The sequence below is a fragment of the Homo sapiens genome, chromosome 5, assembly GCF_000001405.40.
Source record: "Homo sapiens chromosome 5, GRCh38.p14 Primary Assembly".
Taxonomy (NCBI): domain Eukaryota; kingdom Metazoa; phylum Chordata; class Mammalia; order Primates; family Hominidae; genus Homo; species Homo sapiens.
In genome coordinates this window covers 119,577,495-119,604,027 of record NC_000005.10, presented here as the reverse complement: position 1 = coordinate 119,604,027, position 26,533 = coordinate 119,577,495, and the positions used below count along the sequence as shown (strand labels likewise).

The 26,533-nt window shown below is 39.0% G+C and overlaps 1 long non-coding RNA gene across 1 annotated transcript, besides 1 other annotated feature; it reads right to left on the bottom strand.

Moving 5' to 3' along the window:
- Positions 1 to 19,008: 19,008 nt before the first annotated feature.
- LOC107986444 (uncharacterized) lies at positions 19,009 to 24,684 on the bottom strand. The gene is made up of 3 exons (XR_001742859.2): positions 23,944 to 24,684; positions 22,000 to 23,243; positions 19,009 to 19,613 (listed from the first exon to the last, which is right to left on the bottom strand). It is a non-coding gene; the product is annotated as an uncharacterized LOC107986444 (long non-coding RNA).
- Positions 24,747 to 24,816: an enhancer, noted in NCBI's record as "active region_22991". NCBI's record gives its function as "activates an Ori minimal core promoter by ATAC-STARR-seq in GM12878 lymphoblastoid cells {active_cell/tissue: GM12878}" and the evidence as "EXISTENCE:reporter gene assay evidence [ECO:0000049][PMID:35858748]".

The following is a 26,533-nucleotide window of genomic DNA, read 5'->3' as shown; positions in this document are numbered from 1 at the left end:
CCAGCTTTGTTCTTTTGGCTTAGGATTGACTTGGCGATGTGGACTCTTTTTTGGTTCCATATGAACTTTAAAGTAGTTTTTTCCAATTCTGTGAAGAAAGTCATTTGTAGCTTGATGGGGATGGCATTGAATCTATAATCTACCTTGGGCAGTATGGCCATTTTCACAATATTGATTCTTCCTACCCATGAGCATGGAATATTCTTCCATTTGTTTGTATCCTCTTTTATTTCATTGAGCAATGGTTTGTAGTTCTCCTTGAAGAGGTCCTTCACGTCCCTTGTAAGTTGGATTCTTAGGTATTTTATTCTCTTTGAAGCAATTGTGAATGGGAGTTCACTCATGATTTGGCTCTCTGTTTGTCTGTTATTGGTGTATAAGAATGCTTGTCATTTTTGCACATTGATTTTGTATCCTGAGACTTTGCTGAAGTTGCCTATCAGCTTAAGGAGATTTTGGGCTGAGATGATGGGGTTTTCTAGATATACAATCATGTCATCTGCAAACAGGGACAATTTGACTTCCTCTTTTCCTAATTGAATACCCTTTATTTCCTTCTCCTGCCTGATTGCCCTGGCCAGAACTTCCAACCCTATGTTGAATAGGAGTGGTGAGAGAGGGCATCCCTGTCTTGTGCCAGTTTTCAAAGGGAATACTTCCAGTTTTTGTCCATTCAGTATGATACTGGCTGTGGGTTTGTCATAGATAGCGCTTATTATTTTGAGATATGTCCCACCAATACCTAATTTATTGAGAGTTTTTAGCATGAAGCGTTGTTGAATTTTGTCAAAGGCCTTTTCTGCAACTATTGAGATAATCGTGTTTTTTGTAGTTGGTTCTGTTTATATGCTGGATTACGTTTATTGATTTGCATACATTGAACCAGCCTTGCATCCGAGGGATGAAGCCCATTTGATCACGGTGGATAAGCTTTTCGATGTGCTGCTGGATTCGGTTTGCCTGTATTTTACTGAGGATTTTTGCATCAATGTTCATCAGGAATATTGGTCTAAAATTATCTTTTTTTGTTGTGTCTCTGCCCGGCTTTGGTATCAGGATGTTGCTGGCCTCATAAAATGAGTTAGGGAGGATTCCCTCTTTTTCTATTGCTTGGAATAGTTTCAGAAGGAATGGTACCATCTGCTCCTGTACCTATGGTAGAATTCGGCTGTGAATCCATCTGGTCCTGGACTTTTTTTGGTGGGTAAGCCATTAATTATTGCCTCAATTTCAGAGCCTGTTATTGGTCTATACAGAGATTCAAATTCTTCCTGGTTTAGTCTTGGGAGGGTGTATGTGTCAAGGAATTTATCCATTTCCTCTAGATTTTCTAGTTTATTTGCGGAGAGGCATTTATAGTATTCTCTGATGGTAGTTTGTATTTCTGTGGGATCAGTGGTGATATCTCCTTTATCACTTTTTATTGCATCTATTGGATTCTTCTCTCTTTTCTTCTTTATTCGTCTTGCTAGCAGTCTATCAATTTTGTTGATCTTTTCAAAAAACCAGCTCCTGGATTCGTTGATTTTTTGAAGGGTTTTTTGTGTCTCTATTTCCATCAGTTCTGCTCTGATCTTACTTATTTCTTACCTTCTGCTAGCTTTTGAATGTGTTTGCTCTTGCTTTTCAAGTTCTTTTAATTGTGATGTTAGGGTGTCAATTTTAGATCTTTCCTGCTTTCTCTTGTGGGCATTTAGTGCTATAAATTTCCCTCTACACACTGCTTTGAAGGTGTCCCAGAGATTCTGGTATGTTGTGTCTCTGTTCTCCTTGGTTTCAAAGAACATCTTTATTTCTGCCTTCATTTCGTTATGTACCCAGTAGTCATTCAGGAGCAGGTTGTTCAGTTTCCATGTAGTTGAGCGGTTTTGAGTGAGTTTCTTAATCCTGAGTTCTAGTTTGATTGCACTGTGGTCTGAGAGATAGTTTGTTATAATTTCTCTTCTTTTACATTTGCTGAGGAGAGCTTTACTTCCAACTATGTGGTCAGTTTTGGAATAGGTGTGGTGCTGAAAAGAATGTATATTCTGTTGATTTGGGATGGAGAGTTCCACAGATGTCTATTAAGTCCACTTGGTGCAGAGCTAAATTCAATTCCTGGATATCCTTGTTAACTTTCTGTTTCGTCGATCTGTCTAATGTTGACAGTGGGGTGTTAAAGTCTCCCATTATTATTGTGTGGGAGTCTAAGTCTCTTTCTAGGTCTCTAAGGACTTGCTTTATGAATCTGGGTGCTCCTGTATTGGGTGCATATATATTTAGGATAGTTAGCTCTTCTTGTTGAATTGATCCCTTTACCATTATGTAATGGCCTTCTTTGTCTCTTTTGATCTTTGTTGGTTTAAAGGCTGTTTTATCAGAGACTAGGATTGCAACCCCTGCCTTTTTTTGTTTTCCATTGGCTTGGTAGATCTTCCTCCATCCCTTTATTTTGAGCCTATGTGTGTCTCTGCACGTGAGATGGGTTTCCTGAATACAGCACACTGATGGGTCTTGACTCTTTATCCAATTTGCCAGTCTGTGTCTTTTAATTGGAGCATTTAGTCCATTTACATTTAAGGTTAATATTGTTATGTGTGAATTTGATCCTGTCATTATGATGTTAGCTGGTTATTTTGCTCATTAGTTGATGCAGTTTCTTCCTAGCCTCGATGGTCTTTACAATTTGGCATGTTTTTGCATTGGCTGCTACTGGTTGTTCCTTTCCATGTTTAGTGCTTCCTTCAGGAGCTCTTTTAGGGCAGTCCTGGTGGTGACAAAATCTCAGCATTTGCTCGTCTGTAAAGGATTTTTTTTCTCCTTCACTTATGAAGCTTAGTTTGGCTGGATATGAAATTCTGGGTTGAAAATTCTTTTCTTTAAGAATGTTGAATATTGTCCCCAACTGTCTTCTGGCTTGTAGAGTTTCTGCCGAGAGATCAGCTGTTAGTCTGATGGGCTTCCCTTTGTGGGTAACCCAACCTTTCTCTCTGGCTGCCCTTAACATTTTTTCCTTCATTTCAACTTTGGTGAATCTGACAATTATGTGTCTTGGAGTTGCTCTTCTCGAGGAGTATCTTTGTGGTGTTCTCTGTATTTCCTGAATCTGAATGTTGGCCTGCCTTTCTAGATTGGGGAAGTTCTCCTGGAAAATATCCCAAAAAGTGTTTTCCAACTTGGTTCCATTCTCCCCATCACTTTCAGGTACACCAATCAGACGTAGATTTGGTCTTTTCACATAGTCCCATATTTCTTGGAGGCTTTGTTCGTTTCTTTTTATTCTTTTTTCTCTAAACTTCTCTTATTGCTTTATTTCATTCATTTGATCTTCCATCACTGATACCCTTTCTTCCAGTTGATTGAATCGGCTACTGAGGCTTGTGCATTCATCACGTAGTTCTCGTGCCATGGTTTTCAGCTCCATCAGGTCCTTTGAGGACTTCTCTGCATTGGTTATTCTAGTTAGCCATTCGTCTAATTTTTTTTCAAGGTTTTTAACTTCTTTGCCATGGGTTGAAACTTCCTCCTTTAGCTCAGAATAGTTTGATCATCTGAAGCCTTCTTCTCTCAACTCATCAAAGTCTTTCTCCATCCAGCTTTGTTCCATTGCTGGTGAGGAGCTGCATTCCTTTGGAGGAGGAGAGGCACTCTGATTTTTAGAGTTTCCAGTTTTTCTGCTCTGTTTTTTTCCCCATCTTTGTGGTTTTACCTACCTTTGGTCTTTGATGATGGTGATGTACAGATGGGATTTTGGGGTGGATGTCCTTTCTGTTTGTTAGTTTTCTTTCTAATAGTCAGGACCCTCAGCTGCAGGTCTGTTGGAGTTTGCTGGAGGTCCACTCCAGACCCTGTTTGCCTGGGTATCAGCAGTGGAGGCTGCAGAACAGCGGATATTGGTGAACAGCAAATGTTGCTGCCTGATCGTTCCTCTGGAAGTTTTGTCTCAGAGGAGTACCCGGCTGTGTGAGGTGTCAGTCTGCCCCTACTGGGGTGTACCTCCCAGTTAGGCTACTCGGGGGTCTGGGACCCACTTGAGGAGGCAATCTCTCCATTCTCAGATCTCCAGCTGCATGCTGGGAGAATCACTACTCTCTTCAAAGCTGTCAGACAGGGACATTTAAGTCTGCAGAGGTTTCTGCTGCCTTTTGTTTGGCTATGCCCTGCCCCCAGAGGTGGAGTCTACAGAGGCAGGCAGGCCTCCTTGAGCTGCGGTGGGCTCCACCCAGTTCGAGCTTCCCGGCTACGTTGTTTACCTACTCAAGCCTCAGCAATGGTGGGCACCCCTCCCCCAGCCTCGCTGCCACCTTGCAGTTTGATCTCAGACTGCTGTGCTAGCAATCAGCAAGACTCCGTGGGCATAGGACCCTCCGAGCCATGCTCAGGATATAATCTTCTGGTGTGCCGTTTGCTAAGACCATTGGAAAAGTGCAGTATTAGGGTGGGAGTGACCCAATTTTCCAGATGCCATCTGTCACTCCTTTCTTTGACTAGGAAAGGGAATTCCCTGACACCTTGCACTTCCCGAGTGAGGCGATGCTTCGCCCTGCTTCGGCTCACGCTCGATGCACTGCACCCACTGTCCTGCACCCACTTTCCGACACTCCCCAGTGAGATGAATCTGGTACCTCAGTTGGAAATGCAGAAATCACTCATCTTCTGCGTCACTCACGCTGGGAGCTGTAGACTGGAGCTGTTCCTATTCAGCCATCTTGGCTCCCGGTGATTTTTAATAATTGTATTTTCTTCCATTTTTATTAGAATTCAGAACATATACTTCTTGGTCTTTTCCAAAAATGATCTGTGCCTAACGTTAAAGGACAGCAGAGTCTGCCTCCCCAAAATATACCACTTTGATGTAGGGATTATTTTGAGTGGAAAGCAATTGAGAAGAAACAGATACAAAAACAAAATATCTGCCCTCTTCCTAATTGCCTAAAAGCAAGGCATTAAGGAAACAAAGGTGTCCCTTCCTCCGCATTTCTACCAGGTATAACAAAGTTTGATCACCAGAGGTGATCTTTATCAGCCTAGAGATGGCACCAAAGGAATCCATGTTAAAAAATTTACTGACAAGGGGCTAGGCATGGTGGCTCATGCCTGTAATCCCAGCACTTTGGGAGGCCAAAGTGAGCAGATCACCTGGGGTTGGCAGTTCGAGACCAGCCTGACCAACATGGAGAAACCCCATCTCTTTTAAAAATACAAAATTAGTCTGGTGTGGTGGTGGGTGCCTGTAATCCCAGCTACTTGGGAGGCTGAGGCAGGAGAATCCCTTGAACCGGGGAGGTGGAGGTTGCAGTGAGCCAAGATTGCGCCATTGAACTCTAGCCTGGGCAGCAAGACCAAAACTCCATCTCAAAAACAAACAAAAAAAATTACTGACTAGCCTCTATCTACCATCAGTTTCCCACATATTTCCCACCTCACAATTTTCTGCCCCTAGAGAGTCAAGGTCCTTCTGCTTTATGTTGCCAGTTCTCTAAAAATGTTTTGTTCTTTGTTGAAGACACCGCATAAGCCACCATTCTAAGCTACCTCTTTAAGAGTTAGTCTTTCCCTGAGTTTTCTCTCAGGTATATATGAAATATACATGTTAGTAAACCTCTGTTTGTTTTTCTCTTGTATTAAAAGAAAAACTTTAGACAAATTAAATTTAACAGAGTTTAAGTGAGCAAGAAAAAATACAAAAACGACTTGTGAATCAGGCGGCCACTGGGGCTGCCACATGGTGGGATAAGATTTATGAAGAGAAAAAGGAAAGTGACATGCAGAAAACAGAAGTGAGGTTCAGAAACAGCTGGATTGGTTGCAGCTTGGTGTTTGCCTTATTTGAACACCATTTAAATCACTGACTGACTGTGAGTGGCTGAAGTATGACTGTCATGATTGGCTGAAAGTCAGCTACTATTACAGACACATTCTCCTAAGTGAGGTTTTCAGTTTGTATATGTGCTAGGTTAGGTTGTGATTCATACATAAGAACTCAAGTATGCAAATATGGAGGCTTTCTCAAGCCAGACTTTGGTTTGATTTAACAATTTCCCTCCTTTTGGTCAGCCTCTCAACTTTAGATATTAACCAAAACTTCGGACATTGGTGCCACTCTCTGTCACCATCATAAATAACTTATTTGGTCTCAGTATGAAATTCACACATCTTCTTTGGTCTCATTGTGGAATTCACACGTCACAGTGTCACACCAGTTGAATAATTCTTTATGTTCTTGCTGATCTAGTCAAAGTAAAATCATAAGACCATTCAATACTCAATGGATGGCTAAATACAAAACATTTAAGACTTGAGAGGATACAGTGTTACCAGGGGGACTATTAAAATTACTATCAAGAGTGTAATATCAAAAAACCAAAGTGTACTTCTTAAACAGATTTCTTATGAAATTAACCAAGTCAAATCAAACAAGTCAAAGTTCAGCAATATAGGCAGTTCAACAGTATTTGAGTCTAATTGGTCATAGTCTTTGTTCAGGGTGCCATGGTAATTAAGGACCATCATTCACTGTAAAATGTTCTGATTTAAAGAGGTACCCATTTTTGTTGTTATCCTGGTCACACAAGTTATAATAACCTGGAGACCTACCAGAAGAAATATAAAGATAAGAAAACTTTGGAAAACACCAGGTTGCTATCCACCATTTAGGATATCTGCAAACCAACTGTTAGTTGTTCCCACGAACACATTCTATGTTCCTTTCTCTTGAAAGATTTCCTTAATTTATTTGGTGGCAGTGTCTAAGGAAAGAATAGTATCTACCAGATTTTTAATTAAGCCTTCTGTAGTAATAAAATTAGGGGAAAGATAGGTCCAACATTCGGTTTTGTTCAATAGCAAACATAAGGCCTCAACTTGAGCTAAAAGGAAACATAAAGCTGCATGATGTGTTTTTGTTGAACACTTATGGTATCATTTACCTTTCAGAGAGTGGCTCCTACGCACCTCAAACCGTGGGAAGTCTGATTGGCTATAAACTTCAAGATTTCTCTCAATTTATGAATTAGCTTTAAATTCCATACAACTAGTACCCACTACCACCAAGAGTGAGTCCCCAGGAACCACGATGGAATGTCTCCTCAGTAGAATCTAATTTATCTTTCATCTATTTCAAGATTGGTGCTAATTTCAGTTATTGACTGCTTTGGTTTCTGATCATAGGAGCTATTACAGGAACTCTCACGAGAAGCTATTTAAAAGGCAGGAGTGAGCCAGACCAAATAGCAAGATCCAAACCAGCAAGGAGGTAGAATGAAATTCTGTGCAGACCAAATATAGTCCCTAAGGGATTGGAAAAGAGGGCCATCTAGTTGTATTTGAGCAAGGGTTAGTTAAATTTTTCACCCTTGTTCTGCCTAGCTCCTGAACAAAGTCCAGTGGAAAATTTACTTTTTTGTGGCCCTTTCATAAAACGTTGTAAGGATGTATAACCATATTTAGTTACAAAAAAAAAAAAAAAACAGGGGGATGGGGCAGGGGGACCTACTGGATTTAATCTAGTGACTTTCTATGAGCGATTACTTGTACCCACACGGATAATTCCCAGGCCTTGAGTGTGTGATGCCAGGAAGCACAAAATACATTTTGCAGACATTACTTGGATAGGTTTCCTATATTTGGTAATGATCAGGTTATTAAATATAAAAGATAGAATGTTGTTTCTAGTGAGTACTGGAAAGCAAGTAGCAGTGATATTTAGAACACCAAAGATAGCTTTCCACTCTTCTTCTGGCATCTCACAGTGATTGTCATTGAGAATGCAGAGAGGCATTGGCATCAGTGGGACTGTTTCCTGATTTTTTGGCATTAGCCCACAAACCCAGCAATTGTTCTAGTTTTATGCTAGAATACAAGCTTGAGCTACAGCCATCCACTGATTATGGCCTCATGAATCTTCCTGTAGGAAAAAAGCATCAGGGCAGCAGAAAATGAGGGAAAAAGACAAAAGCATAACGTTTTCATGATGGTACAGAAGTCTTGATCTGTGAATTTGAGAAAGCTGTTAACATTTAAGATGCCATTTACTTCTAGGGAGAAATTTCCATGGTCAGCTTTACCTTAAAGTCCCAACAGGAGTACTGTTCCAAGAATCTGAAAGGGCTCTTTTGAATTGCAACGTGGACCTAGGATTTAAGGCCTTCATTGCAGTGTCAGTGGTGAGAAAAACTTGATATGGTCCCTTCCAATAGGGGTCAGGGGCAGTCTTACTCTGATGTTATTTCCAAAACACCCAATCTCCAAGTTCTAGACCACGAAGTATTTGATTGACCTCAGATGGTGGATCATGTAAAGCTTTTTTTACCTGGTGAAAATACACTTTGGCATAATGCTTAAAGCCTTGCAGCATTTAATCATATCAGAGTTTAAGAGAGCAAGGAATGTGTGAGCTTTTATTATTAGGGACATAGGTTTTCCAGTGACTGTTTCCTAAGAGCTCAACTTACGATTTCTAGTCAGAGTGAATCTGATTACCATTAAAGCCAACAGCAGTGTCTTAGGCCAAGAAAATGCAATTGACTTAGTTAGCATTGCCAATTTCAGTTCTAATATGCCATTTGTTCTTTCAACCTTTCCAGAAGACTGAGGATGATAGAAACAATGATAATGCCATTATGTTCACAATACATTCTTTAATTGCTTTATAAATTGCCCAGTAAAATGAGTTCCCCTACTGCTAGAGATTTCTCTAGGAATGCCCCTTAAGGAAACACATTTTCCAATAATTTCTTAGTTACTGTTACAGCACCAGCTTTCCTACATAGGAAAGCCTCTACCAACCAGGAAACACACAGACTATTACAAGAACATACTAATACCCCACTGAGAGTGGCAACTGAATAAAATCCATCTTTAAGTGTTCAAATAGCCCATCTTATGGTAGGAATATGCTACCTGAAGTTTTGATTGTTTTCCCAGGATTATAAGTTTGACAAACCAAAATATTGGTTATGAACCATTTTAGAAATGTTAGCACAGTAACCCCAACAATATTTTTTCATAACTTGTATCACTTTGTCTTTTCCATGTTGAGTTGTGAAGTGCATAGCTTTTAACAATAGAAGCTTCAAAGACTCAGGAAGGACCAGGTGGCCATCTGGGCCCTCTGTGAGTCCATGCTTAACAATGAATTTGGATCCTTTTTTAACAATGAATTTGTGTCCTTTCAGAGATCACTTTTGTTTCTCCAAATCAAGTGCATTATACTGTTTTCTAAATAGGTCATCATAAGGAAGTTGACTTGGATCGATCTTAGGAGGTTCATTCAGAAAGCATACCCTAACCGTTCCAGCACTAAACGATTGAGCATAAAAACCTACTAGAGAATTCTGTTTTATGTTCAGGTTCAGTTTTATATGCATGAGAGTCAATCTTAATAATGACAATCTGTGATGGTAACAGGATAGTGGAAAGGAGTTCATCCGCATGGAGTCTATTTTTGATGAAGTTCCCACTAGAAATGAGAAACCTTTGGTGTTTCTATAACATACCAAAATTGTGTGCTATGCCAAAGGTATATCAGCCATCTGCATAAATATTTACTGACTTGCCCTCAGCTATATGACAAGCTCAGGTGGGGGCAAAAAGCTCCATGTCCTGAGCTGACTTAAATTGAGGAAGAGCTCCCTTCTCTCTCAACTTATTTTGGGTGGCAATGGCATACCCTGCCCAATATTTTCCTTCTGAATTTTTGGCACAGGGCTCATTGACAAAAACTTATGATTATCCAATGGTGTATCTCATAAATCAACACAAGAGGCAACTATTTCTGATATTATCCTTACAAAATTATAGGCTTCACCATCATCAGACAGGAGTAATGGAATAGCAGAGTTAAGTATGTTGCAGAATTTTAAATAGAGATTAGAAGGAGATTAATTTAACAAGATGTTGGTCTACTTTCTGAAAAATACTGAGTTTGGTTGGCATGTAAAGGACTTCCCACAGTATGTGGGACTTGCAAATTAAGTTTATTCCCTAAAATCAGCTCAGATGAAGCTTCTATCAACTTGGCTGCAGCTGCTTTTAAACAATTAGCATGTACCTTCACTACTAGGTCTAATTGAGGGCTATAATATGCAATGGGCCTATGTTTTCCTCTACGTTCTTGGATAAGAGCTCCTAATTCCTGATTGTTACATTCATGGACAAACAAGGTAAAAGGTTTAGTGTAATTTGGAAGTCCCAAAGCTGGAGGCTGTCGTAAGGCAAAATTCATTTGGTTAAAAGCCTGCTCATGACTGTCTTCCCAAGGTAAAGGCTCTGGTACTGTGTTTCTATCAAGCTCTTACAATGGTGAGGCCATTCAGAAAAAATGCAAGACACAGAATTGGCAATATCCTGCAAGTCCAAGAAAACTTCTTAATTGTCTTCTGGTTACAAGCTGAGGAAAACTTTAAATAGTTTTATTCTTTCAGGCAAGAGGGAAATCCCTTTAGCCGTCAAGTCATAATGGACTTGCTCTTTTGAAAACTGAAGTTTTTTCATCGAAGCCTTGTGACCCTTATATGTGAGTTGCTGTAAAAGGTAAATTTAGTCCATTTTATAGCACTCTTAATGGGAGAGCCTAAGAACAGATCATCTATATACTAAGTAACAGCAGAATTTTGAAGAAACTATAGGGGTATTAAGTCCTGATGCAATATTGGGGAAAAATACAAAGGGCCTTCAGTAAACCCTTGTGACATTACAGTCAAGGTGTACTGCTGGTTTTTCTAAGTAAAAGCAAACAAGTATTGACTCTATTTATGGATTGAAGTGCTAAGGAAGGCTGAGCAGAGGTCTCTGACCTTCCTGTACCTGATGTTCCGCTAGGCCTTAAAAGGTTTCTATTATCATTTTTTTGAATAAGCTTTCTACTTCTTCCTTTTTCACAACTTTCTTGAATTCCAGTGACTCTTAGATTTGTTTTCATTTTGTTTTGTTTGAGGTTATTCTCTATATCTTGTAAGTATTCTTAATTCCTTTCATTATTTTTCTTTTTTCTCCTCTGTGTATTTTCAAATAGCCTGTCTTTGAGGTTACTGATTCTTCATTCTGCTTGATTCATTCTGTTTTTGAGAATCTCTAATGTATTTTACAGTTTAGCAAATGTATTTCTTGGTTCCAGGATTTCTGTTTGATTTTTTATTATTATTTTGATCTCTTTCTTAAATTTCTTTGATAAATTTCTGAATTGCTTTTCTGTGTTATCTTGGAGTTCCCTGAGTTTCCTTAGAATTGCTATTTTGAATTATTGATCTGAGAGCTCACACATCACCATCTCATTAGGAACAGTCACTGGCTCCTTGCTTTGTCTGTTTGGGAGGTCATTGTTCCTTGTTTGCTGTTGTTTCTTGTGGACATACAGCTATAGCGTCACATTGCAGGATTAGTTATTTTTTTCCAGTTTTCACTGTACAGTTTGTTTTGCTCTTAGAGGGTATATTTACTTAGGGTATGTTTATTAGAGTATGTTTACTTAGAGGTTCTTTGCAGTTTCCTATTGAGTCTCCTTAATCCTAGACCACTGCTTCCTTTATGGGACTACATGGCACCTTAAGCTTAGGTTTGCCTCAGCTCTCCCAAATGTTCAGAGCACTGCCTGTCCCATATGGGAAGGGGGTCCCAAATGGGATACACCTGTTCTATGTAAGAAGGTGGCTGGAGGTTGTGTCCAGAAGACCTATGGAAGGTGCCTCCTACAGCATGGTGCTGCAGAACAGCTACTCTGATTGGAAATCTCCTTTGGCTGAGATAAAGAGCAGAATTCACAGGCTGGGATTGCTAGACTCACCTCCCTATTTTGTCTCTAGCTGCTCTTTGGGATTTTTCTCCCTACAGGCACTTGCAATGCTTCCTATGGGTGGAGGCAGGAACAGTTTTCTTGTAAGCGTACCCAAGATGGTGCAGAAGCTGGCTGTCTGCCTCAATCTCACTTTTTCCAGAGTAGAAACCATAAGTCTGAGAAGAATTTTCCATGTGTAATCCCTGGCAGATTGGGAGAGGGGCGTCACGGAGAGAGACGTCACTTTCTCTTACTCTCTGCTCGGAGTTTTGCACTTCTTTGTGGCCCTGGGGATCATCTCAGCCTCATATTTGAGTTCTAGGATATTGCTGGTGATAATCTGGATGCTGGATATTTAGTTTTTTGATGGGAAGAGTGGAGCCAGAATGCTTCTACTCCATTACTTTTGTGACATTACTCCTCCTGAGTAGAGGTCTACTACAGTGAACCACTTCAAATAAGCAGGAACATTAGATAATAAAGTATTGGGATTTGCAATTACAGGAAACCTTGGTATTATAATTGTATTAATTAACTGTAAATCTTGAACAAATCTCCAGCCTCATTCATTTGGCTTTTTTTTTTTTTTTTAATGGAGTTTCACTCATGTTGCCCAGGCTGGAGTGGAATAGCATGATCTCAGCTCACTGCAACCTCCGCCTCCCAGGTTCAAGCAATTCTCCTGCCTCAGCCTCCCAAGTAGCTGGGATTACAGGCATGCACCACCATGCCTGGCTATCTTTTTGTATTTTTAGTAGAGACGGGGTTTCACTGTGGCCAGGCTGGTCTTGAACTCCTGACCTCAGGTGATCCACCTGCCTCAGCCTCCCAGAGTGCTGGGATTATAGGCATAAGCCACCACACCCGGCCTCATTTGGCTTTTTAACTGGTAAAATTGGAGCATTACAAGAACTGGTACACAGAATTATGTCTTTTTAAAAGTAAATCTTTTACAGTTGGTGATGGCCCCTGAATTGCTTCAAGTTTTAGTGGATATTACAGTAATTTAGGCAAAGGTTTAGAATGATCTACTTGAATTTGTATAGGTTCCGTACTTTTAATCCTTCCTATATCAGTTGAGGAAGGGGCCCATAACATTCAGGTGTTTTAGAAAGGTTAGGTATATAACAGACCTGAGTTTCAATCTTATCAATTTCTGCCTGTAGAGAGCATAACTCTCCTGGTTCAGGAGAATCTGGAAACTCTGTCTCCCTCTGAGTAGAATCATATATGTTCTTTTAGTTTTGAAAGTGAGGCTCACCCTAGCAAGTTTATTGGAGTAGTATCATATGGTGAAAAGGTATAATTTTCTGAAAATGGCCCAAAAGTAAGGTGAATGAGTTGATATATGACAATCTCATGAATTGATTTGAAACCCCCACCAGAGAAATGACTTTTTTGCGTCAAGGGATCTGATGGCTTAATAAAGTGGAGTTTATGGTTCATAAGGTGGCTACAGTATCCACCAGGATGTACAAGATTCCTTATTTATTTTAACTTGTTTCTCCATGTTTATGTAAGGGTATTATGTCAGGGGCAATTTAACAGAGAATCCTTGGAGCCTAATAAATATTGATTATCATCATTAATGTTAAAATCTCTTGGGCTCATTCTAGGGGTAAAATGATCTAGCCTAAAGAAAGGAGGCTTATTGCAGACTAATATAAAACCAAGAAACCTCTTTCCACATGTCCTTGTTGTTTGCAATGAAGGCAAACATCTCAGGATAAAGAATTTCTTGTTCTAGGACCTGTTTGTTGTGATTTAAAATAAAAATGAGAAGGTCCCTTTAGCCTCAGCCCCTGTAACTGTTGTAATTGACGAGTCATAATTGTTAGCATTTTGGATATTTTTTTTTTTTGCTCCAGAGTCCTCTCAAAATGTTCAGCTGAGGCCACCAGTTCATACCTGTAACTCTCCATCCAGGTTTGTGTTTCTTAATTAAACAGGTAAGTTCAGGATGAAGTCCATTTACAAATAGAGGAATTAATATCATTTCAGTCCCTGCAGGAAATACTTCTTGCTGTATTTGGAGTCCAGAATATTTTACAAACCGCATTTCTAAGTAAGTTCTGTAATCAGAAAATGATTCATCCTTTTTTTTGTCTGCAAGACTGTATGATGAACCAATCAACCTTTGTTGGGAAAATCTTAGGAATTAAATATAAATGGTTTTCAGCAATTTTTCTAGCTCCTTTTGGCCTTTCTCATGAGGAAGTTTTGGAGAAGTCTAATACATGCCTCAGATTTGTCTCATCCCACTCCTGCCATCCATTTTTAAGCTTCACCAAACGTCAATATTGTATGAATATATTAGTAAAGGTCAGGGAGTCATGGATTATAGACTCCTATGAGGATTCTAAATTCTTCAGTAAATGATTGAGGATTTTTCCCTTGGGTTAGGGAAGTCCTTTACAATGTCTCTAAGATGAGTTTTAGACCATGAAGTAAAAATGGTTACAGCAGGAAAAACCTGGCTGATCAGAAGGTTTTACTAACTCCTCTTTTTTCATCACCTTCAGGATGAAAGGATAATGTTGCAAAAAGGTTAGCAGATTCAGAGTATTGAGGTAGAGATGGATAAAGGGAAGGAACAGCTGAAGTTAGTTCAGTAGACAACAGTCCTCTTTTATCATGTCCTTAAGCTGTTGCTTAAGCTTTTCATTTGCTTTTGCAAAGAATCTTTGAAGGAAGCAATTTTGATTTGTTTAGCCTGTTAGATGCTTCTGTATCCCATTGTTTTGTGTGGGTTTTTGATCTCCTTCTTTCTAATATGCCTCACAATAAACAATTTTATCCAACTTGAAATGTTACTGGTGTCATCACAATTCTAAGTTGTCTCTTGTAAAATTAACTCATTTTTCTGAAAATGCACACATTCTGGGCCCATAAGTTTTGTAGAAAACATTAGCTGCAGTACCAGAAGGTAGAGTCTTAGACTCCCTGGATTGAGATAAACCCATTATCCAAAAGGTATCTACCCAAACCCTTAGGCCTCTCACAGAATCCAATCTTGTTAAATATTTAATTCAATTAAATCCTGCACCCAGTCCAGTCTAAATATTGTTCAAATAAATTCAGAGAGTTCAAATCACAAAATAGTGGAGCTCAGAATTCAAAAGAAAATTCACTCATGATCTCCAGTTACAAACAAGAGAATAGTGAACACAGCTGGCTTCATGGGTACTTTGCCTGGTTGCCTAGTGTTCCTAGGGGTCACTGGTGTTTTACTTCAAATCCTCACTTCTGACATCAAATCTGTTAAAAGAAGGGCTTTAAACAAATTAAATTTAACAGAGTTTAATTGAGCAAGAAAAAAGACAAAATGATTTGCAAATTGGGTAGCCCTCAGAATCAGAAGAGATTCAAAGAGACTCGGGCTGCAACATGGTGTGATAAGATTTATGGACAGAAAAAGAAAAGTGACATACTTAAAACAAGAGTGAGGTACAAAAACAGCTGGATTGGTTACAGTTTGGTGGTTGCCTTATTTGAAACAGTTTGAACAGTTGGCCACCTTTGAGTAGTTAAGGTATGGCTGCTGTGATTGGCTGAGACTCAACTGTTGTTACAGAAGCATTCTCTTAAGATAGATTTTCAGCAGAATTCATATAAGAGTATGGAGGCTTTCTAAGGCCAGATTTTAATTTGATTTAACACTGGTTAATGTGTCTTCTTGTTATAGGGGTCCCAGTCAAGAATTAAGAAGGATGGAAAGGAAAATTATTTTTTCCACTTCTATATTGAAAAAACTCATTTAATATTTATAGCATTACATCTTGCCAACTTCTTTGTTATTCCATCCTTGCCAAATTCTGATGTCTAGCGTTAGAATTAACTTCCTCAGAATATTTTTAAGAGCTGGAAAATGAAAATGTTTAACTGTATTATATTTCTTAACTTCCTCAAACTCCAGAGCAATCTCTTCAATCTGTGATAGAAATAAAGAATTGGTTTAATAGAATGTCTCCCAAACTGGCATTTGCAGGATATTAATAGGTGTTTCATTAGGAAATGGGAAATGTAAATTGACCAAAGTTAATAAGCAAGTTTTCATTTTATCTATAAGACTTCTCAGTCTCTTTAATATGTTCTCATAAGTTGTGACTCTCCAGAGAAAGGACATATGTCTCCATACTTATTTTACAATGAAACATTTCTTAGCTACACCTATTAATTCCCAGAATGTTGTTTCAGGAAATACCATTCTGAGAAACACTTAGCTAATGAATTACTCCAGCTTAAAGATAGTTCCACAAGTCAGCTTTAGGAGTTTAGTTGAGCCTATGGAAATTTTTTCTTCATCCAACAAAGAGCATACTTAGCCAAAAAACAAATAGCAATTTAAAAAAAGAATTATATGTATCATGTAGCAAACATCACTATAGGTAATTCTTTCAAGATGCCAAAAAAGAATATTTAATCACTACTTTCAAAGAAAGACAGCCACTTTATACGGGTTTCTTCACTTGTTGAATACTTACCATTGGAATATCTACTCTAACAACTTAAAAAAGTGTTCACTCAAAATTTACTCTCCAAGTGAAAAATTACTTCAATGAATCTGCATATGCATGCCAGAAAAAACATTTTAGTGTCTCGAAAAAGCCTTAGTGAAAAGTGAAAAGCCTTAGTCTCAACTGTTCTCCAGACAGGTTTGCGATTTACGCATTTTTTGATTAAAAGTTTTGTGCATTATCACTTTCACCTCCCCTACATCACTAAAAGAAAAAGTTTATTGAAAGAATAGAAAAGTATAAAGGTCTTTGAATAAAGCAGGTAAGTCTAAGAGATGTGGGAAAGCCCATATATTAGAAGAAAGAGGTGAATAATGAGGCACGTGAAGAATAAACATGTAAAAGACATATGCTTGGCATGCATTTGTTTTCATCTGCCAAATCTATGATTTTTTGTAAGCATGAAAAATTTTAAAAGACATTTGCAATTGTGGTTGGTCCCAGAAAGCTTTACTGTTTTTCATATGTACACAGAATGATTTTGTCATTGTTCGTGTGTTTTGGGGTGAGCTAGAAATACTTTATAATTTCCCCCATTTAAAATAATGAGATATAGGCTACCACTATTCAAAAATTGTATATCCAAAATATTTGCTTAGATTTGGATAAAGATGCCTGAATATGTATTTCAACTATTCATGGAATAAGCAGAACAATATATGCCAAAAGAAAGGGTTATACATTTTCCAAGTAGATGCCTGGGGAATCTGTGACCTTAGTCTCACAATCCTGACATTACTCAAAATATTTTGAACACCTTTTAAAAAATCACCTTTAGTTTCTGACATAGACTTTTAAATCTTCTAAGTGGTGAGAAATTTTCATCATCAATAGTTTGATTTTATTTGGAAAATAGACAAAGACATTCAGAGCCAGATCTGGCAAATAAGATAAATGATCTTTCCAAGAAATGGTATTTTGATCAACTGTAGTTTCCCTATAAAGTAAAGTCACCAAATTTCATGTAAGTCTTATAAACTGCTTTGAAATCAGTAGGACAGAAGGAATTCCAAAGTGTTTTAATTAATGGCAGCATCATAAGAAAAGATACATCTTTTTCCAAAATGAATGTGAACAATAAAACTTTTTTTTGTTATGAACATTTAAATTTGGATGTTCAAAACTGTTCTCATTACTTTTTTTTGCATTTTGTTCAAAAATAACTTGTCAATGTCAGTAATTTGTCAATGGCAACTTAAGGCATACTTCTAAACAACTGGCTACCTACCTATTTTCATCCAAATGGATTATTTTCTATTCCAGTATTATTTGGGAGGAGAGATGAGGACTTACTCTGTCTGTTCTGGCTCTCTTCTATTTAAACAGCAAAGAAAAACCCTATACACCATAGAATACTATGCAGCCATAAAAAAGAATGAGTTCATGTCCTTTGCAGGGACACGGATGAAGCTAGAAGCCATCGTTCTCAGCAAACTAACACAGGAACAGAAAAGCAAAAACCATATGTTCTCACTCATAAGTGGGAGTTGAACAATGAGAACCCATGTACACAGGGAGGGGAACATCACACACCAGGGCCTGTTGGAGGGGTGGCGGGGAAGGGGAGGGAGAGCATTAAGACAAATATCTAATGCAAACAGGGCTTAAAACCTACAAGACAGTTGACAGGTGCAGCAAACCACCATGGCACATGTATACCTATGTAAGAAACCTGCACATTCTGAACTTGTATCCCAGAACTAAAAGTAAAATTTTAAAAAAAGAAAGAAAAACCCAAGAATTGTTGAAGAGAAGACAGGGTTGGGGGAAAGGGAGGTGGCCAGCAGGTATTATTGAACTGTCATTTGATGTAGAGTTTGGTCAGATTCTTAAGACAAAGATTGTTCCGGAATCTCCCAATACCTCCCAAAGCAGACAAAACACTAATGTCTTTCAATCATAATATTTACCTCATTTGAATTCCAAGCAACCTTAAAGTTACAGTCTTTTTGACCCCAACAATATAGCAATGGCATTTAAGACACCTGGCTTCCAGTTTCAATCCTGCCCCTGTGGGTGAGTCCTTAAGCCCCTTGGGGTGGAAATTTTTAACTGTTTTGTTTACTATTAATCCTAAGCATTTAGAATGTGTACTTTGTAGGCGTACTTGTAAAAGAATGCTTAATCTCCCTTATCTGTTATTTGATAATAGTTTCCTTATCTGTTAAATGCAAATACTAGCTTAGACTAGAGATTCCAACCATACGGATGTGCTTAATGGTAAGCCTCATCTTTTTTTTCTCTCCTCCCCTTTCCAGAGGCAGAAATCCCTCCCCAAATTATACCAAAAGGCAGATGGTCAGCTGTCTCTTCATGCCTGGTTACCATCTATATTATCAACAAGCACATAAACTCAAGATTTTCCATAAATGAAAATAAAGCGGGTAGAAACTACCAATTGCCCACTGACTATTCTTTTCTTCTCTCTTAGTAACAGAATTCCATTTCATAGGGACCACAATATGTTCAGCTGAAACAACCCAACAAAAAATATTTTCCAGTCCCACTTGTGGATGCTGGAGTTATGCAACGCAGCTCTGGCTAAGAAATGAAAGCAGGAAGAATCTCTACAAGAAGAGCAGAATTAGCTGATAGTACCACTGTTTGCTGGAAACATGGGTACAGTGCTGAGATGCTGGAGGTGGGACAGCCATTTGCAACCTCAAGTAGACCACTAAGAAAGGGCCAAGAGAAGAACTGCCAGTGGGAACCTCCAGGAAGCAAACACTGAGTCAGAAGTAAGACTGGGAGAGCTTTATTGTGACTGTAGAGGCAAAAAGCAAGGTGGGAGTAGGGATGTGGAATAGGATTGGGTGAGAAAAGTCTTTAGATTACAATGCTGATTTGACGCTTTGACATGCTGGACCCCTATGACTTCAGCAGAAACCGCACCATGTTTAAGAGGCCCAAGAAGAGACCTAGAGCCAGTGAAGAATACATAGGGTTTGTTGAGGAAACTTACATACAGGGGTGGTCCAGTGGCAGTGGGCTGGAGAGGAGAACTGCAACCACTTATTAAAAGCATGCAATTTATACAGCATTTTCACTTAGCAACCTCCACTTGGAAATCTTCATTTAATCTAAAACAATGGGCCTTGGTCCCCTGTATTGCCTGCATTCCACAGGATGGGCTGAAGGCTCAGATGTCCCTCATAGACAAGGAATGAATCTCCAGGTTGGCCACACCCAGATTCTGTAGCTCCCAACTCTGAATATGCATTCTTCTTAGACCATATGGTCATTCTCAGGGTATGCTTAACTTGTTGCTGTCAGGTTCATCTGCCATACAGTGTCATTCTTGGGATACACTTATGTTATTGCTGTCAGGTTCATCTGCCATACACCTTTATGAAAAGAAAAGCGGAAGGAGACAATATTGAGCAGGAGGAGCCTTGAACAATGATGCACATCTAACAAAATTTCAGCAAGCCCAATAGCAACCTCCAGAGCAAAGGTTGCCCATTAGAGGAGGTCTGCATTGGGCAGAAATGGCCATGGCCATGCCCAAGTGTCCCCTGCATGCTCTGCCATTGCTTGGGAGCTACCTGAAAAAAAGTGTAGCCTTGGATCAAAAGCTGAGGCAGATTCTGAAGGCACTGAATTTGGGGGCTCTCAAGATGGCAAATTCTTCCTTGAAGGAAGATCCAAACAGCACACCTCCATAGCCAGGGCTACCACCACCATGAAGGTCTCAGCCCTGAGCTGACTTCCATCCTTGAGCTGAAATTACTGCCAGCAACCCCCATCTCTGGCTTCCTATTGTGCAAGAAAAAATAAACCCCTAATTTGTTTAGTTCTAGGTATTGGGGTTTCAGTTCTCTGTGCTTCTACGAATTATTGACCCAGATTCTTTCCACTGAGTCTCTAGTTAATAGTAAATTAGGTGTCTGGGGAGATGCATCCATCATTCCGGGCTATGAAGGCTCTATGCAGTGAATAATAGCATGTGAGTAATGCTGCAACTAGGCAAATATGAACACCAGTTTCCCAGGAGAACTTAGTTGTGACAGCAACTTAAGTAATTTCTTGCAAAAACAGAAATAACAGGCTGAATGAAGGTCGGCTTACAGGGGTTGATGAATTAGTATTAGTGCAAGAATTTTTGCTAGCTACTCCCATTAAAGATGTTACAGTTTTCTTACTCCTGGGTGTTTAAATGTGTTGTCAGTGATTGAAATTGCTAGAAATCTGACTTCCAGATAGCTTTAGGAGGCATACTTTAATTGCTCTGATCTTCATATTTTTTCTTTATAAAATGAGGAGGTTGGATTATGTACCACTGAAAGTATTTATAACAGGGAATTTAATGCACAGAATGAGTTACACAGGTTACAGAAAAGCTGAGAGCCAAATGGGATGATGCAGTAACTCAGACATTACCTACAAAAGGAAGCCACTACAACCACTAGGCTGGAGAACAAAGAGGGAAGGTGGTATTGCTGGAGTTCAGGAGATTCAATCATCCAACAAAGGCTTGACCCATGCTGGGCCTGTACAATGGGAGTTGGAGCCACGGGATTAATGTGCCTGCTGCCAGAGAATCAGCCCAAGGCAGAAAGGAAGAAGGAGAAATACCCTGGCTTCTCCCTTCTGCTGTATCCCAGCCTCCCTCCAATCTCTAACCAGTGCCTCCTACTGGCTACACTAAGTGAGAATCCAGCTAACACAGGAATTTGATAAACAACAGCCTTCATGGCTCAGCCCCTTTGTGAAAAAACACAGCAGGGAAAAAACAAGAAAAGTATCTGAGGACAAGCAGGTCCTAGACAACCATAGTCTAGATCAGAGGCACTGACAATTTTGTAAGTAGCAGGTCTTATGAAAATAAAAACACAAGTAGGAGGGCTGCTTGAACTGATGATAGTCATAGTTAGAGAAGATCGGTGATTGGCATATAAATATGGAATTTTACTCAAATATAAGACAAATGCATACCAAAGCTTATTCATATTCACAATCTATTCATCAAATGGGTCTGGTATAATTTTAGCTGAATTAAATAGTTCAAAATTATGTAATTAACAAAACTCATTTCCATCCCATCTGTAACATGAATCCTGGCAGCAGCCAGCTATACAACAGGAGCTAGTTTATATGCACGCTCTTGTTTGGTCATTTTTTAATTGAACCAAAATTTTCAGGCAGCCAGGACCCAAAGATCAGGTGGCTGTGCTGGTCTGAGAGCCTCTTACTGGCCAAGACACCAAGATTCCTTCTAGTTGCAATGGTCTCCATTCCTCCAGGCTAAGTAATGGTGCCTGGACCATACACTGAGGGAAGGCTTCCAGGAGATTGAAGGGAGGTGGTCACACCTGGTCATGTCAACATTGTCAACCTCCACCAGGCCACAGAGCACTGACTCTTGGTTGGGAAATTCTTTAAGCCTGGTTCCTACAATCATGCAAACAATTCAAAAGGGTCCCGGAAGAGTTAGAAGAACTTCCTGGAGCAGTGAGCACTTACCTATCCCTAGCCCTTTTGGGGGTCAGACTTCTAAAGTGAAATCTTTGGGTGTCAAGAAGAGCTAAGCCAAAACTAAAATTCCTCACCGATTCTGTTCATTGTTGTTTTTTTTTTTATCGAGAAGCCTGCTTGACACTACACATCAGCCAACGTTCTGAAAGCATGCAGTTGAGGCATGGTACTTCTTTTTGTTTTATATATGCATCATTTTTTATGTTCCCAAAAAAGCATATGAATTAAAAATTATCTGCATAAACATGAACTTACGATTTTTTCTATATGTCCAAGGAGAGCATATAATTTTATGAATAAATGAATGCCCCATCCCCATCCTTCAGGTTCTACCCCAAAAAAGCTCCTCCTCTTCATCCAGAATTCCAGCCTTGAGATGACACAGCAACTGTGGCTCCAGGAGGGCAATAAACACCTATTAGTGAGATCACAGGCAAACAAATTTTCTTTGTGCCTTAAAAAATATACCCTCATGCATCCCAGTGCGCTGAACACAAGAATTTAGAAACAGTATTTAGGAGTAAATACTGTTTGGCCAATTATCAGGTTAAGGAGAGAAATCTATGAATCTGGGAAAATTAATTTGAGAAACAGTTGTTTTTGTTTTTGTTTTTTAAGGAAGGCATTTATTTAAGGCAACATAAGAGTCTGTTTACATTTAACATTTTAATAGTTGGAAGGTTAAGATTTTGAATCAAGTATTATTGCTATTCAACCAGAAGCAATGGATTCTGTTTTAGTGAACTTTACCCTTTCACAGGTATTTAAGGAGCCTGTTACAATGTCAAGCAATGAACATTTTCCTGAAAGGAAGCAAAAGACATAAGAATTAACTCTAAAAAATGGCACTGTGTCACAGGAGAGCAGCCTGCCCATCTACCCTCGGGGGAGTTAAAAAGGCAGAAAGAGCAGATAGTGAGTCTGAAAGGACAAAGAGGCACCTCAGGACTCAAATTTCATGAAAAGTTCGCTCTGCAGAAAAACAAGAAGCCAATGCTGATGAGAGGACTTCAAGTTGGAGTTCTGCAGCTGATTTCTCTCTGTTCTTTTTTCCCTGTTCTTTGTTCCCTTTTCCTCCCAACTTCATTCTCTTCCCTGCAGGATGCAGATAATTAACAAGTGCCTATAGATGGAAGGTCTTGTAATCATCCCTTAATGGCTTTTCCAATTGTCAAAGTTAACAAGAATCTGGAGTTTTCTAAACCAGTTCAACATACAGAACAGAAAAAAAAAAACAAAACCCACCTTATTCTTAAGACTACTGAGGATGACCTTTTCACAGTTAAATGTGTTGTCTTCAATCTTGTGCTGCTATTTAAATAGCTTCTTCTACAGAAAATTGTCCCTTTGGAGAAAGTGCTGCGATTTCCCGTTTGAGGGGTTAACAAAGCACTTTAAGGCAATTGATCTCAAAGTGAGAACAATATTTCAGCAGCCAAAAGTAAAAGTACACACTACCTTTGACAAAGACAGCTCCGGTGTGGACACAGGGGAGAAAGCTTGGTTTGAAGAAAACACAAGGAGGAAAGGTCAGCATAAAAAGGCACTAAGCACCCATCTTTCTACCAGATAGGAAGTTAAAATACATAATCTCATAAGGCAAAAGGAAAAACTTTAGGTTGTCAGACCCAACTTTCCCAACCTAGGCGTCAACGGTACTTTTTACAACAGATGTTCTCAGCAATGGGGCCATATTGTATTCACCTGGGAGCTTTAAAAAAGAAATCTGATGTCTGGTTCCATGCCAGATCAATGAAATAAAAATATTTTAGGCTAAGGGGCAAGCCTTGGGAAGTTTTTTAAAAACTAGCAATATAGGTGAGGGAGGGATAAGATCCACTGGACTCCAATGCCTGCCTTGATCCAGCAGCTACATCATGGGCACTTCTGGTGACAAGGAATTGACTACCCTCCTAAAAATTAATTCCTTTTAAAGACCATTCTAAAATCATTCTCATTACTAAAGGTTTTCCTTATGTTGTGGCTAAACCTGCTTTTCTGTAACTTTCGCCAATTTTTTCCTAGCTCGGCCCAAGAAATCTACATGATACATTTATCAAATTTGGAAATGATACAAACCTGGAGGAAATTTTTTGATAACACAATGAACAGTCTGAGGGCAAATCTGAGGTCAAATTTAATAAAAATCTAACAGATATCTACATCCTATATTTTACTCAGGGCTAAGAAACAACTCACCAAGAGAGGATAGGAGAGAAAGGGCTTTAGCAGCAGAGTTACACGATAGATTTCCAGGGTAGGGATGGAGGCTGGGTGGGTGGCGACGTGGCTGCTGAAACCACCCATGTCTTCCCAGCCTGCATTCACAGATGTGCCATCTCCAGAAGAGGGACGCATCAGAAACATACTTTCAGTAGGGTACTAAGGTGACCATACTTCAAAAGAGAAAGAAAAAAACAGGGGAGAATGAACACAATGGTGAAGGGTTTTGAAAGATTTCAAATAAAGAACTACTAGGTGAAAGGCAGATGAAAAAGAAAATATTAAAATGAGGAAGAGGAAACCAGTATTTGAGTATATACTCAGTGACAGATGTCTTTATACATTAATTCAGGTAATCATCAGAACAGCCTCTGGGGTTACCTAATTATCTAACAAGGAGATGTTTAAATGGCCTAAAGAGATAAAACTAGGAAGAGGTGGGTGGGCCTGAAGCTTGAAAGAGACATATACAGCTTCATCTCTTTTCTTCTTTTGTTTTTGTGTCTCCATTGGAGAAGGGTAAGGCAATTATACTCCTCAATTAGTGGGACTCAGTTCTTTGGTTCATGCAGAACCCCTTTCTTATTTATTCATTACTTACTTTGTTTTTTCACATGCATATTTGTTAAATCTCTATGCCCCACTAGCATATTCTTTCCTCTTCATAGGTAACAATGTATATTATTTGTATTAGTCTGTGTTGCTATAGAGGAATACATGAGGCTGGATAATTTATTTTTTAAAAAGAAGTTTATTTGGCTCACAGTTCTGCAGGCTACACAAGAAGCAGATGCAAGCTTCTGCTTCTGGTGAGGGCTTCAGGCTGCTTCCACTAGTGGTGGAAAAGGAGAGTTGGTGCATGCAGAAATCACGTGGTGAACAAGGAGAGGTGCCATGCTCTTTTTAACTACCAGCTCTCAGGAGAACAGTGAGAACTCACTCACTCTGCCCCCTGGAGGTCATTAATCTATTTATAAAGCATCTGCCCTCATAACCCAGACACCTCCCACTAGGCCCCACCTCCAACACTGGATAACAAATTTCAACATGAGATTTAGAGGGGTCGAACAAACCAAACCCTAGCATTCTTTTATTTGCATACTTTCTTGTAGAAATTTTGTACGTAGTATGTAAATTTTCTTTTCATATACTTTGCCGTTTTCCACTAGGATTTCTACCTTTTTCTTGTTATTTTAGTTATCTGTGTGTTCTAGGTATTAGTCCTTTGTTGGCATTAGAAACTTTACTTACAGACTACTGACATTCTAATCTTTGTAATAACATTGCCCAGATATAATCAAAATCAACTTTTCTTTCTTATGGATTTTACATTTGAATTATTATTTACTAAATCTTTCCCCATCTTAAAGTCACAAAGATATTATCCTACATTTTTCTTTAATTAACTGTATGGTTTTAAGTTTTACATTTAGATCTTTAATTCATCTAGAATCCACTTTTATAATGTGGTGTTATGATAAGATCAATCTTTTTTACTCCATTTAATGAGCCTGTTTTTCTATTAGCATTTACTACAAAATCCTTCCTCTCACTGTTGACTTATGGTACCACCTTCCTATTATATAAATTTCCAATCAATATGAATTCATTGTTGAGCTCTCTATTCAGTTTCAGTGACCTATTTGACTGTCCTTGCACCAATATCACACTGTTTTTATTGTGTACCATGGCTGCTTTGTAGTATGTCTTAATACCTTCAAGGGAAAGTTACCCCATATACTCTTCTTTTTTCAAAACTGGCTTACTACGAAAAAACTCTAGAGATCTGCTGTACAACATTGTGCTTAGGTTAGCAACATTGTACTGGACACTTACAATTTTGATAAGAAGGTAGATCTCTTGTTCACCACAATAGAAAAAAAGATTGGTTTGCTATTTTTTGACTTTCATTATTCTGTAAAATTTTATAATAAATGCCATCATCAAAAATGTCCAACTGGAATTTTTATTGGGGTTAAACTAAAGATTATAGAAGAATAACCCTTATTGCATAAGTCATCTTATCCAAGAGCATGAAATGTCTATTTATTCAGATTATCTACTATGTCCTTTATTTATATTTTAAACTTTTCTTCACAGAGAGCATGTATATTCTTGGATAAATTAATTCCTAGATTAAATCTGTCTTGGAGGACTTCCCATACATGGGCTGATATAGAAATGACATCAGTATAACAGCCTCTGGTTTGTGTGGATATTTTTCCCAGCACATTAATATCATGTGCTACCCAGCAACAGCCACTGTACGTGAAAAAGCTAGCCCAGCTGCCCTTTGACCCCTCCAGTCAAGACCCCTTACTGTCTTGGTCGTCCTCCATCTGCTTCAAGTACCTGTTGTGTAGCAGCCAGCACCTTCTTGGCACTTGGTGGGTAACCTATGCCCTCAAATTCTGAAGTCCCTGTTTCTTCCCAGCCAGTTGATGTTCGCCTTCCCATAGTAGCTCAATCTGTTCATGTTCTCAGGGAACACCCCCAGGGAAGTAGATTTCAACTCAGTCAAAGAAGGACTTTCTGACCCAGCTATCTTGGGAGGGAGCAGCTCCCA